The sequence below is a fragment of the Homo sapiens genome, chromosome 1 (genome assembly GCF_000001405.40).
Source record: "Homo sapiens chromosome 1, GRCh38.p14 Primary Assembly".
NCBI lineage: Eukaryota > Metazoa > Chordata > Mammalia > Primates > Hominidae > Homo > Homo sapiens.
In genome coordinates this window covers 109,587,039-109,601,489 of record NC_000001.11, presented here as the reverse complement: position 1 = coordinate 109,601,489, position 14,451 = coordinate 109,587,039, and the positions used below count along the sequence as shown (strand labels likewise).

Here is a 14,451-nt window from a genome sequence, read left to right as displayed (position 1 = left end):
TCACCTGAACCCAGGAGGCGTTTGCAGTGAGCCAAGATCATGCCACTGCACTTCCAGCCTGGGCGACAGTGAGATTCCATCTCAAAACAAAACAAAACAAAACAAAAAACCTGGGAAAGACTTCTCATATTCAAGAGCTGTTCAGGAACTACTCTGAATATCATGCTCCAACCATTACTAATCTGTTCACTTTAACTCAACATACAGGAGTTCTGAATCTGTTTTGTATCATGGATCCTTCCGGCAATCTGATGAAACCATGTGCCTCTTTTCATCATCATATTTTTAAACACGTAAAATTAAATTCAGAGAAATACAAAGAAAACTAGCATATCAAATAGTCTCTCTGTAGACTCGCTGGAGCTCTGAAGCCCCAGGTTAAGAACCCTTACTATACAAGCTATGATCTTGTCTATTCAGGCCCCAAACATAATTTATCCCATTTATTCCATCTCCAAATAGGATAGCCCTACTTTCCCTCAAATAGTACCAGATTGTTGATTATTTTATTAACTTTTCCTTGGTCTTTCAATCTAGGTATAAATTGGTTATTGACCAAACTATAAGTCTAACTCAGGATCCTTGGTTATTAATGTTCACACAGAACCTGCCTTATAGTACTAGTACAGAAGCAGAGCCAGTGGGACAGGTCTTCTGACAGGTCTTAGGTCAGAACACAAGTCTCTAGCAGACTAAAACATGGTTGTATTTAGTCCTCTTCTTTTGGGATAGCTGGGGGATATCCCAACTTTTAACTGGTTTATCAACAAACTCACACAAGCCACCTTGTACAAACATTATGTAAAGTGTTCATCTTGGAGGATAGAGCAACATTCTATAGCTGTTTTTTTACTGAGTTTGGGATCTGCCTATATTCATCTTATGATGTTTTCAAGCTAAAACTCTTCTGGCAAGTCTACATGAAATGCAACAGGGGCCCTTGAGCACCCATTCACCTATTACCTTAGAACACAGTCAGAATAATTTTCTCAAACCCTTGGTCCAGAATGGGCTCTCCCATGATTAAAGGTAAGAGGACTTCACCTCGATGCTCTTGATAGGCTTCCAGAAAAGGCATTCACCCTTACCCTAGCTCAACTGTTTGTCAGGCCCAACGATTGTTCCCAAACCTTACATGTTAGAGCTGCAGAAAAAGTGCATTTGTACTTTTCCTGCACAATTAGCTTATTTTTATCTCATGGACATTTTGATTGTATTCATGAAAAGTTCTTATATAAAACAGCTATAAGAAAGATTAAAATAAAAATTAAGTCATTATCTTTCTTTTGCCTCATTTTAAATTTACACCGTACTGTTGAATTTTTATTTACTTTAAGCCATCAAGTTTTTTTTTTTTTTGTAACCAGATCAGAAACAAATATTTAACCCTATTTTCTGGCATGCAACCTTAATTCTTAAGACTGCTAAAGTTAGAACAAACTTAAAAATAGTCCAGCCCCATCACTAGCAATTTATAGATCAAAAACTGAAGCCCAGGAAGGAAGAGTATCTTCATCAAGATCACAACGCTAGGCAGTAGCAGAACTAGAACTCCAGAACAGGTCTTCTCAATCCAAAGCCTGTGATGATGTCCAGCTACCAACAGAGCACCATACACTATAAAATCAAAGCCAATTTCTTGTTCTTCTAAGCTCCTCCCATTCCCAACCAAATTCTTGGTCATTTTTTCATTATGCCGTCTCTAAATCGTGGACATTTAACAAAACCACCTCCAAGCTAAGACAAATAGATCTCAAAATAGAATATGAAAACAGCATAAAATCACAAAAATATAACTAAGTTTGCTTGTTTGTTGAAGGTAAAATTTCCTCTTCATATTCTTAGAGGGAGAGACCATAATGTACTTCCCTAGCATAGCATGATTAAAGAGACATTACTAACAGTAAATCAAATGTAAATTACGTTACATTTCACATAAATCTGATAGTTTTCCTTTTTTAGACAAAAATACAATATGATTGACACAAAAGGACAAATACTATGATTCCACTTATATGAGGTATCTAAAATAGTCAAATTCATAGAGACAAAGGAAAATGCTGGTTACCAGGGGCTGAAAGAAGGTGGGGCATGGGGAGTTACTGTTTAACAGGTACAGAGTTTCAGTTCAGGAAGATGAAAACAAGTTCTGGAAATGGATGGTGGTGATGGCTGTGCAACAGTGTGAATGTACTTAATGCCACTGAACTGTACACTTAAGATGGCAAATTTTGTTATATATGCTTTATCACAATTTTAAAAATAGAAAAAATATACTATAATTAGAAATTTGTATTTCTGTGGATAAAAGGAAGAATGGATAAAAGCGGCACAAAAGTTGTCTTAAAAGCAACATAAAAGACACATTAACTTGAAACAGTTCCTACTCTGGTAATAAAATCCACTCACATGTACCTCCAAATAGTCCAAAACAGAGTATTCCTTCCCATCCCCACGGTGAGACATAACAGCATTCAAAACCCACTCTATACTTGGAGATGTGCCGTAGACCAAAGTGTGCCGGCCATGCTGGGTGGAGAAGGTGGTGAAGGGTGAAGAGCTCTTACCTCCCACTGCCCTCTCTACCCGGCACAGCCCCCAGAGCACAGATTCCAGAAGGATTTCGGTGTTGGGCCAGGGACTGCAAGTGTGACAGAGCCTCTGGTGGTCCTGCTAGGTAAAAGCATGAAAACATTTCTGTGAGGTCAGAAGACACTGGAGACTGCAGAAGGGAACTTTTCTGTCTTTTTGCCATGAAAAAGCACTAGTATAAGCAGAAAATAGACAGCTGGATTTAAATGTAAAACAAAGCAAAGACCTTTTCACCCTGCTTCACGAATTTTAGAGCAATTTATAGTTCAACTTCATTTCAGGTCTTCAAAATGAATATGGGCAAAGTAATGCTGTAAAAGACCACCCACTACGTTGAATACCTTTGTTGGTGCTGCCTTAGGATTTTTTTTTTTCTGTGCAGTATAATCCTGAGTATCATAACATTTACAAAGCATTTTCAAATATGTTATTTCTATCTGATGAGAACCACAGAATATCACAGCAGGAAGGAATAATTTAGTCCATCTTTAGATAACAGATGAGTGATTTAAGACTGAAAGAATACACAAGATTCCATAGCTGGTTGGAAGCAGAGACAAGACCAGAACCCAGCATTCCAAACAACTCTCCAACCTCGTAAGATTCTGAGAGGTCTCAGGACCTTTATCCTACATGAGCAAGAATAAACAGAACAGGTGATTTCTTGTGTTTTGTTGTATCTACTGGAAATCTCTCTTACATATAAATAAGCATCTTAGTAAAAATGTCTGGATAACCTAAGGAGAATTTTGGGCGTAGGGAGAGGTAAAAGATAAGAGGAGACAGATAAACCAGGTTGTTCATAATTTAATATTCCTGCTGTCACAGATTTTATAGCTTAGTGAATGCTGGTACACTGAGATACTTCTATCCCAGCAGTGTATTAATATTTATTATTTGATTATTTCTGGTACCTTGTGATTCTCACTAGATTTCAGGAAAACACTAGCACTGGGCATACAAAGGCTTTTACATGTGACTCAATCATTCCCCTTATATACCCCCGTACCCATTTCAAAACGACTTTCATTCTAGTTTAGAGCTAGCTAGCTTTGCTTTCTCTACCAAGTGTAAATAAATATTCATGTTATTACATATACTGTTATCTGTCACAGGGTTTTATCTTTAATTTGGTGTATCTTTCAATTTTCACTGCATAAATAAATGCAGTAAAATAAATGAAATGAATGTTTGGACATCCTAGGTTTCTTGTTGTCTTAATTTTGTATAAAACTAAATACTCTGTATCCAAAGTGTAGGAATGTTATGTGACCCAACAGTTTTCAATAATTTTCTTGGTGGAAGGCACTTTAAGTCATGTACAAATGGTACTTCTTATTGGCAAAAAATAGATCACTCACTAGTGATTTTGAGCTTATTTGTGCACTGAAGTTGCTTATTTTCAATATTTGTGTTGACTTTAAAAAAAAACAAAAAAAAAACAGACTCACTCTGTCGCCCAGGCTGGAATTCAGTGGTGCGATCTCGGCTCACTGCAACCTCTGCCTCCCAGGTTCAAGCGATTCTCCTGCCTCAGCCTCCCGAGTAGCTAGGATTACAGGCATCCACCACCATGCCTGGCTAATTTTTGTATTTTTAGTAAAGACGGGGTTTCACCATGTTGGCCAAGCTGGTCTCAAACTCCTGACCTCAAGTGATCTGCTTACCTCGGCCTCCCAAAGTGCTGGGATTACAGACATGAGCCACTGTGCTCAGCCTGTGTTGATCTTTAATATAGATTGAGCATTTCAAATCTGAAAATCCAAAATCTAAAATGCTCCAAAATCAAAAGCTTTTTGGGTAACAACATAACACTCAAAGGAAGCACACACTGGGGCATTTTGGATTTCAGATTTTTGGATTTGGAATCCCGAACCAATAAGTATATAATGCAAATATTTCAAAACCTCACAAAAATCTGAACTCTCAAACACTTCTGGTCCCAAGAGATTTGGATAAGGGCTATTCAACCTGTATTAGGTCCTACTCAGTTGTCCCCAAATGTTGGCCCAGATTGGCTACATCAAAATCACCTAAGGAATGTATTAAAAACATGTATATTCCCATGACCTGGCTCAGACATTTTAATTTACTAGGGTTTAGCCAAAGAATCTGCTAAATCAAATTAACCATGTACCCCAGGTAACTACTGCTGTTTAACATTCCTTCTTACCTCTTATTCCTGAGAAGATTTGAGTCAGCCCAGGCCTAGGCCTGATATGGTATCAGAAAAAAAACTGCCCTGAGTGGGTGGAGTGGTTCACATCTGTAATCTCAGCACTTTGGGAGGCCAAGGCAGGCAAATCACTTGAGGTCAGGAGTTTGAGACCAGCCTGGCTAACATGGTGAAACCCTGTCTCTACTAGAAATACAAAAGTTAGCCAGATGTGGTGGCACATGCCTGTAATCACAGCTACTTGGGAGGCTGAGGCACAAGAATCGCTTGAACCTAAGAGGCAAAGGTTGCAGTGAGCAGAGATCGTGCCACTGTACTCCAGCCTGGGCAACAGAGCAAGACTGTCTCAAAAAAAGAAAAAAGAAAAACAAGAAAAAACTGCCCTATCCTGACATGTTCTGAAGTATGTTGTTCTCAGCAGAACTAACTCATAAATGTTGAGAAAACTGGGGGGAAAGGAGGGAGAGAAATGATCTTAAAAACTAAAAGATAAAGGCATAAAGACCTTGATCATCATTAAAGTTAGTTCTCCAGTGCCTGAAAAAGGCTTTCTTTTACTCCCTGATAGTTGTCAGCAAAATCAACTTTCAACTTGAGGTCTCTAGGAAGCCTGCCTTTTTCTCTTGTGCTTGTTGGGAGCAATACAACAAAATATGATGATCATAAAGCTATGTAAAGAGCTGAGGCTGATCCAGGTCAGATCCCTGATTTGCACTACGAAGCCTAAAGTAGAACACAATAATTACCTGGCACTGGCAAACTAAGATCATTGCTCTTAAAATCAGTATTACACATGAAAAGGAAAGAACCCACAAGTACTAACGCTCAAGGAAAACAGTGACGTTTTAGGTTTATACAAATGAGTAGAGGGTTGCTTATTTTTTTTTTTTTGAACATGTAAAAAGGGAAAATAATCAATGGTAGCTTTTTAATAGGAACAAGAGACTGACTTTACCTTATATATGACTGCAATACAGCAAGGAGTTCTGCAACAGGAAATTCCAGAACTATGTCACACATGCTAAGCAAATGAATAAATTATATTAAGTAACTAATCAGGCCAGGCAAGTAATGTCCAAAGAATGTCACAGCTATAAATGAGAGAATAATGAGCAGAATATAAGAATATAGGGTGAATGAATGAATTACAAAAACCAGCTGTTATTTTAAAATAGTCTAATGTGTATATACAACAAATAGAATATATATGAAAATTAAAAAAACAAGGCAAGAAGTTTTTTTTAAAATTTTGGTCCATCTAGTCTTACATTGTAAGAATGTAGTACCTTGTGAAAAATAACGATCCATCAGTAAAAATTTAAAAAACGATTCACTGTGAACTAGAGATTTAGAATTCAAACTGTCCAAGATGAAAATGTCATCTCAAGATCCACTTATGAGTAATTGTTAAAGTTTTTGGAATTTTCATGCTAGGAGGTGAAATCTGTTGCAAAGCTGAATTTATAAGGTTAGGGGGGACTGTCCATTAAGAATACTTCTTCTTTACACAGAGACTAATGGCTTCTTTGATGGTCCAAAGCATAGGCACCTGAATTCTGAAACATTATCCATCACAAATCTCCAGCATTCTTCAGAGGAAACACACAAGGCAACTTTCAGCTTCTTTGATTACAAATGCCAAAGTTTTTTTTCAGGCTAGTAGATTTAATGTTTCATCCCACATTTTAGCCCTGCTACAAGAAAATATCTTTTATTTCAATACAAACCAGTGATTTGCAAGCCTGGCTGGTAATCAGAATCACCTTTTAAAAATTATAAATTGCCAGCCAGGTGCGGTGGCTCACGCCTGTAATCCCAGCACTTTGGGAGGCTGAGGCAGGCAGATCACGAGGTCAGGGGATCAAGACCATCCTGGCTAACACGGTTAAACCCCGTCTCTACTAAGACATACAAAAAAATTAGCTGGGCGTGGTGGCAGGAACCTGGTAGTCCCAGCAGGAGAATAGCATGAACCCGGGAGGCAGAGCTTGCAATAAGCCGAGATCGCGCCACTGCACTCCAGCCTGGGCGACAGAGCGAGACTCCGTCTCAAAAAAAAAAAAAAAAAAAAAAAATCGATTGCCAGCCCACCAGCCAAAAGTCAATCCCTTAGATGGGTCCAAGTGATTTTTACTTAAGTCATATTAAAAACTACTGACTTAAATTGTCTCCCTGTGTCCTCAAGGAATGTGCATTTAGATAAGTTATTTGGGATGGTGAAATAAGAGTGATCTTCATGTTAACAAACAGAGAGCAAATGTAAATGGTACAGAGGCAGAAAAATGGGGACCTGCTATTTTTCTTTAACAGAAGGGCTAAAAATTTAACATATCAGATAGATATTCAAATGAAAATACAAATTCAAAGTAAAATGAACTTTTTTGGATTATTGGTTATTTTAGATTATCAACAACACCATTTCATTAGTCCACAGTATAGAAAGACTACAGTTGAAAATAATATTCCACCAGGTCTCATTTCCAGGATCCTATATTACAGAATACAATAAGGAAAAGGTATATTCAAAATGAGTAACAACTACCAACCCTGTTTACATTGTGGGCACTGAATCAATCGCCAATTGAAGCTGATAATTTTCTTTCAGATCAAGTTTTCCCACACCTAAAGAAAATTCCATTATATAATACAGTTATACCATCTGTAAGCTATGATTTTCCAAAAAGAATCACAAAAAAAGTTAAAAACTACCAACAAAGGCACTGAACTGCTATGACTTGCTTTTTTTGTTGACCACCAACCTTTTTTTTGTAAACTAGTGAAAAGTCACATCAAAAGATGAAATAGAATCCAATCCAAAAAGATTGGACCCCAAAAGGCACTGCCCAAACTACTGATTTGAAATGCTCAAAATGCATTCTCTTCATTTGTCTTCCCCCAATAGAGCATTCAATATTTAATGACATTTGCTGTACATTATACAAAAGGGTCTGTAGGTTGAAGTGAACGTAACTTTCCACACAAGCAAAATGTAAATCTGCAAAATGAATCATGATCACATATCACTCATATGCAGATATAACATAAAACCTAAGGTTCAACAATACTATTACACCAAAAGACTAGACTTTCAGGAAACCCTTCTACCTAAACCCATTCTCAGACAAAGGCTAAAGCACATTCTGCAAAGGCAAAAGGAAACAGAAGACAGTATTTCCAGAAAAGACTAGTTACAAACAGGAGCAAACCTGGGCTCTTTACTCACCATTTTAATACTGCCGCCAACTATAACAGATTAAAAATGTACACATGACAAAGTGGAAAAAAGTCCCAAAATGCAACAGTTTCAGCAAAAGAACATACTGGCTAAGGATTACTACAGTTAACATCGGTACAGTAAAAACGATGGCAAACAGGGATTTGGCACCACATTTACAAAGTAAAAGCATGCACTGTTAATACACTTTAGATGTTTCTCAACAGAAAAGGCCATGAAGATGGAAAACAAGAGGCACCATGTACAAAACTCCCTATAACTGAGACAAACAAGCAAGAATCAAAGTGGTCAATTTAGTAAATATGTAGCAGCAAAGTCACTGGTTCTGTTTGGAATTTAGCAATTTGCATTTCTGATTGGCAGCTGCCCTGGGTGTGTCTGTATCCAAGAAGCTGACTTTATCATACTACATCAGCAGTAATTTGGTAATCTGCACAAACAAGGTTAACCTTCAACCATAAGCTTAAAGAAAAGAGAGAACTAGAATCTTATTGCAGAACTTTCCAATGTAATTACCATATGGAAACCATAATGGTACTTTGAGCAGGATAATAACATAAATTTCATTTAAAAAGTTGTATTTATAGCCCCAGTAACCGGAAAGAATTATAAGTAATTATGGAAGTATTATATTCTGACCATACCAAGAGTTAAAAACAAAGAGTTCCTACTAAAGAGGAATATTTTCAAGATGATCTGGTCACATCATGTGCATAGTTAAGATTGTTTGTTTTAATAAAGATTCTTTTGCAAATAAAGAAATAAAATTTAGTAAAGTTATTCTTCTCTTGATGAAAAAACCTTAAAAATGAACCACTGGTGGTTTAAGAAGGGGGGAAAAAAAGAGTAAGCTACATATTGAAGTTCTAGAATGCAGCACCTCAACTTCACATCTTCCATAAGCATTTAAGATTAAGAAATCCAAGTGATGTCTTGACGATCGAATCACACTTTATAGTTCTTCCAATTCCAATGTCTGACTTTAGCATCTCATGTCAATTAAAAGTTCCCTAATACAAAATATTGTGCTAAAGAGTGCTAAGATTCTGCATGCTGCTGCCATTCCCTGGTCCCGTTCATGCTTGTAGCTGCCCCATGAGACAGCAAAAGGTGTCTGGTCTCAACACTCCACACTGTAGTAACTAGAAGAGAAGAATATTCTTAATTAGAAAAAGTTTAAAAACCAAGAGACATCACTGTAGCACTATAACTACCTTGTATGAAACTTTACCTTTCACTAACATCCATGCTTCTCAATAAAGTCCACATTCCTTTAAGTTGTTTTTAATGATGACATCTGTAACAGCATCAAAAACAAACTGCACATTCTTCGTGTCTGTGGCACAGGTGAAGTGAGTATAGATCTCCTTGGTATCTTTTCTTCTGTTCAGATCTTCAAACTGGCATTGAATATAGGCAGCTGCCTCTTCATATGTATTGGAACCTAAAACGGACACCCAGTACTCTCAGTTCAAATTGTAACAGCTGCCTGAACTCAACTAAGTCAGACCATTACCATTTACTTATGGAGAGGGAACATAACCCAATTAAATATGAGTAGAATTCTCTATTTCTATAATCATTAGGTGTTTCTATAATTAGGTTCTTCGTGAGAGTGGACTCTCATGGTAACAAAATAAAATCATCAAACACAAAGATTGAGGAAAACATAACGTTAAATTTCTCTTTACCTTTTCATTTAGACTTTTCAGCTAAAAAAATCTAGAAAGTATAAAAGGAAACTAGGAAAGTAGGAAGGTGCATTTCTAGGGAACACAACTGCTTAAAAGGTCTGAGAGAGGCTGTGTTCCTTGGAGTGATCTTGGAATAAAAATTCAACAGGGTAGTGCTTGCTTTGGTAGCACATGTACTAAAATTGGAACAATACAGAGAAGATTAGCACAGTCCCCGCGCAAGGATGACACGCAAATTCGTGAAGCGTTCCATATTTTTTAAAACAACTGGGTCGGATCATGCTAAAAGGAGATAATATTACTCTGCTACAAAGTGTCTCCAACTAGAAAGGATCAATGAAGTGAGAAATTGTTGAGAAGGATACAGTTTGCTTTTAGATGTCCTTTTTCCAATATGAACATTCATTCATAGTGTTTTGATTACCCTTATGTTACTAAAAGATGGCAATAAACGCTATGGGATTGTTTGTATTAAAACAAAAAAAAAAGGAATTCAACAAGGTAAATTGTTCTTTTCAAAATCATTCCACAGTTTTAAAGAGGTTTAGCTTCAAAGCCTTAAGGTAATAATTTAAATAAGGAAAAGCAATACACTTTAAAAGAGTGAATTTTAGGGTTTCCCAATTATATCTCAATGAAGCTATTATTTTTTACAAAAAGAAAGGTGACAGGAACCAAAAGCAAAGCCTGTCTCAACAATATTTGTAATTAATACCCTTAAATCACCTGCTTTTTACACCATCTTGTCTACTTATAGAACCTTTAGAGTAGCCTTAGAAACTGGCTATAAAGCCAGGGAAACGCAACAAAGACAATTCATTATTCCAATAAACTACAGGCTATTTTCAGTAACGTGAAGCATAACAAAAATATCAATAACAAAGATATAAAGAAGACCAGGTAACAAAACGGAGCTTAAGAAAAAAGGAGCTGGGTGCGGTGGCTCACATCTGTAATCCCTGCACTTTGGGGGCCGCAGCAGGTGGATCGCTTGAGGTCAGGAGTTCAACACCAGCCTGGCTAACTTAGTGAAACCACATCTCTACTAAAAATCAAAAAATCATTAGCTAGGCCTGGTGGTGGGCACCTGTAGTAGAGCTGAGGCACAAGAAGCACTTGAATCTGGGAGGTGGAGGTTGCAGTGAGCCGAGATCATGCCACTGCATTTCTGTCTGGGAGACAGAGCAAGACACTGTCTCAAAAAAAAAAAAGGAAAGGAAAAGAATATTAATTAAAATATTTAAAGAACTGAAGGAAAACAGCTTTGTAGGTGCTTGAAGCAGGTTCTTAAAATCTGGAAAACAACCTCTGTAAATTAAAGGAGGCAGATGAGTGAAAAGTGAATTTTGTCTGCTAGGAACAGATAATAATACCTGGCAAATAAGGACCGTAAGAATCTGTACACAGAATGAAGACAATGGAGGATAGGCTTGGAAGTTAACAACAACAAAGAAAATGGAAATGATATTAAAGGCTCTTTGCTTTGTGTGAAGACTCTAAGCTGGGCCTTCAACATTAATGCCAATTATTTTACTTGTCTTACATCTCTCTCCCCCAATCCTAAAACTTGGTTGCTTTCTATAAACTCACCTTATTCTCACCTCCCTCTGTTCTTTACTCTGAACAGGTAACCACATTTCCAACTTCCTTGATAAAACAGAGGCCATGAGGATTAAACTACATCTCAACTTTTTGGCCTACCACCTCACTCAAAATGTTACATATCTGCACTTATTTGTACTTCTGGTCTTAGAGGTGTCTTACTTCTTGCTCAAAAATCAATTGCTCTACCTATACTCTTTTAAAAAAATTATTGAGGAAAATTAACATAACAGATATTTAACCATTTTAAAGTGTACAATTCTGTGGCACTTAGTGTATTCACAATGTTATGCAATCACCACCTCTCTCTAGTGACAAAACTTTTTCAACACCCTATTCCCATTAAGTAATCACTCCCTTTTCTTCCCATTCTCCCACTTCTCATAACCACTAATATTCTTTCTGTCTCTATGGACAGAAATTGCCCTATTTTGGATATATCATATAATAGAAGTATTGGCCTCTTTTACTTAGCACAGTGTTTTGAGTTTCATACAAGTTGTACCATCTATTATTATTCCTTTTCTTGGGTAAGTAATATTCATTGTATGTATATAACACAATTTGTTTATCCATTTATCCTACCTAGACTCTTAATTCCTTTTTTCCCACCTGCTTGCAAATCTTGCTCCTTCAATTACATCTGTTTTTTAATGTATCTCTTTTGCTTATAGGATCTTAGCCCTCAGCCTATAAACATTCTTAAATCTCTCCCTTCCCTTTAAACCCACGTTGCTCAAGAGTAGTCTACACTTGTCTTCTTTCTTCACTTTCCATTCTGTAACTCACTGTACTCAACTTTCCACTGACACTGCTCTCAACAGCAGGTCAACGACCTCCTAACTGTTAACTCCAAAGGCTCTTTTTCAGTATGTATCTTACTTATCTGCAGATAACACTGTTGACTGAAATATTTAATCAACTCACTTTTTAACCTCTCCTTTTGGTTATGATATCTTTCTTCCTCTCCTGCCAATAGAGGCTGCTATTCTCTCTCGTTCTACCTGTGGTCCTTTTTCTCCTCATTCTATAATATTATCTCCATAGGTCATTTCACCCATTTCCATGTTTTCACTACTGATGATCTCAAACCCCAACCTCTCCTCAACCTCGAATATAACTGTCCATGAGATATTATTTCAACGTTCTATGAATAATTAAAAATCAACATTCCTATACATGAATTCAGGTCACAGCACCAGCATCCAAGACAGAAACCTGGGAGTACCTCTGACTCTTCCCACTTCCTTACCCCTGCTTTACCCCTTCACTTTATTGATTGATTGATTGATTGATTGATTGATGGAGTCTCACTCTGTCACCAGGCTGGAGTGCAGTGGTGCGATCTCGGCTCACCGCAACCTCCGCCTCCCGGGTTCAAGCGATTCTCCTGCCTCAGCCTCCCGAGTAGCTGGGATTACAGGCGCACACCACCATGCCCAGCTAATTTTTCTATTTTTAGTAGAGACAGGGTTTCACCACATTGGTCAGGATGGTCTCGATCTCTTGACCTCATGATCCACCTGCCACGGCCTCCCAAAGTGCTGGGATTACAGGCATGAGCCACTGCACCCAGCCTCACTTTATTATAGAAAGCATTTACAGTGTCTCTGCTAATAAGAGTTCCCCTTCTCTGGAAATACCTGATTCTGATCTATAAGTTTCATAGTGATCCATCCCTGGCAGTTACATTTGTGCCCCTGACCTCAACTGATTGGCCTACAGATTTCTGCCTGACTTAACCACGGCCAGAATCTCTCTCCTTGGAATTTGAAACCAAGGCCAAGCAATCCCAGTCTAGTCTGATCTTTTTTTTTTTTTTGCTCAGTCGCCCAGGCTGGAGTGCAGTGGCGCGATCTCGGCTCACTGCAAGCTCTGCCTCCCGGGTTCATGCCATTCTCCTGCCTCAGCCTCCCGAGTAGCTGGGACTACAGGTGCCTGCCACCAAGCCCAACTAATTTTTTTTGTATTTTTAGTGGAGACGGGGTTTCACTGTGTTAGCCAGGATGGTCTCGATCTCCTAACCTCATGATTCACCCGCCTCGGCCTCCCAAAGTGCTGGGATTACAGGCGTGAGCCACCGCGCCCAGCCTAGTCTGATCTTTTTACCAGAGATACAGAAACTGTGACTAGGCTGTTATCACATAAACTGAATAGCAGAGAAAGCTGGTTAGGAAAGAAAGAATAATAAAAAAGATACACAGAGAGGAGAGAAAAAAGATGGGGATAAAGAGTGCTTCCAGGGTTCCTGACAATTATTTCCTAGTTCTAATTCCATTCTAAGACCTGTCCATTCTTGCCCTTGGGTTCTATGATATATCCCTTAATCCCCATCAAAAGTTTTTATTTCCATCCTGAGTTCTTACTAATTCAAATCCCCTACTATCTATCTTTATTATTTATTGCATAATCTTTCTCAAGCACAGTTTCTTCTATATCATGCACCCCATGATATGGATCATGGTAGGATATTAAACCTTTAACTGATCATCGTCTCAGCATGAGATATAAGGCCCTCCATGAGTTGATCTCTGACCATCTCTCCAACCACTTCTTCCCTGCCACTGTAAACTCTAGTAATACCAAATTCCTTCTGGGTTCCACAACTGGTCATACCATTTTCCTACCTCCATATTCTCATATATGCAATTCCTCTTTTCTAAAATGCTTTTATTCCCGTCTGCCTGATGATTTCTATTTCATCCTCTTAGTAGCTCTAGAAAAAGACTACAGTGACCCCATCAGAAGTAACCACTTCTATTCCACTTCTATTAATGCATATTTTACACTATAATAAAATTATTTATGTGCAATTAAACACTATAATAAAATTATTTATGTCTCTCTGCAACTACATGTCAGTCTCTTGGGCACAATGATTAAAATTTACCCTTGTATTTTCTTCAACATATACCAAATTTTACTTTATTTTTTGTGAGGCAGGGGGGTGTCACTATGTTGCCTAGACTGATCTCAAACTCTTGGGCTCAAATGATCCTCCTGCCTCAAGCTTCCAAGTAGCTAGAATTATAGCCACCATGCCCAGCTCCCAAATTTACTTTTTCTCCTTTTGTATTTTCCTCAAAAAATGAAGATAGAAATTTAAAATAAACACAGAAAACTCAATTGTGTCTGATATGGCACTCTTGACT

At 37.8% G+C, this 14,451-nt stretch overlaps 1 protein-coding gene, 1 non-coding gene and 1 pseudogene across 2 annotated transcripts in view; 1 reads left to right on the top strand and 2 right to left on the bottom strand.

The window, feature by feature from the left end:
* GNAI3 (G protein subunit alpha i3) overlaps positions 1,295-14,451 on the bottom strand; it is a 51,581-nt gene continuing 38,424 nt past the window's right edge. The window contains exons 8-9 of the mRNA NM_006496.4: positions 9,235-9,447; positions 1,295-9,145 (exon numbers count right to left, since the gene is read on the bottom strand). Coding sequence (NP_006487.1) covers positions 9,257-9,447 — 191 coding nt within the window. The 3' untranslated portion in view covers positions 1,295-9,145; positions 9,235-9,256. The remainder of the gene's footprint in view (positions 9,146-9,234; positions 9,448-14,451) is intronic.
* Positions 2,523-2,597, bottom strand: MIR197 (microRNA 197). The gene has a single exon (NR_029583.1). It is a non-coding gene; the product is annotated as a microRNA 197 (primary transcript).
* On the top strand, positions 9,850-10,185 carry RNU6V (RNA, U6 small nuclear variant sequence with SNRPE pseudogene sequence; annotated as a pseudogene).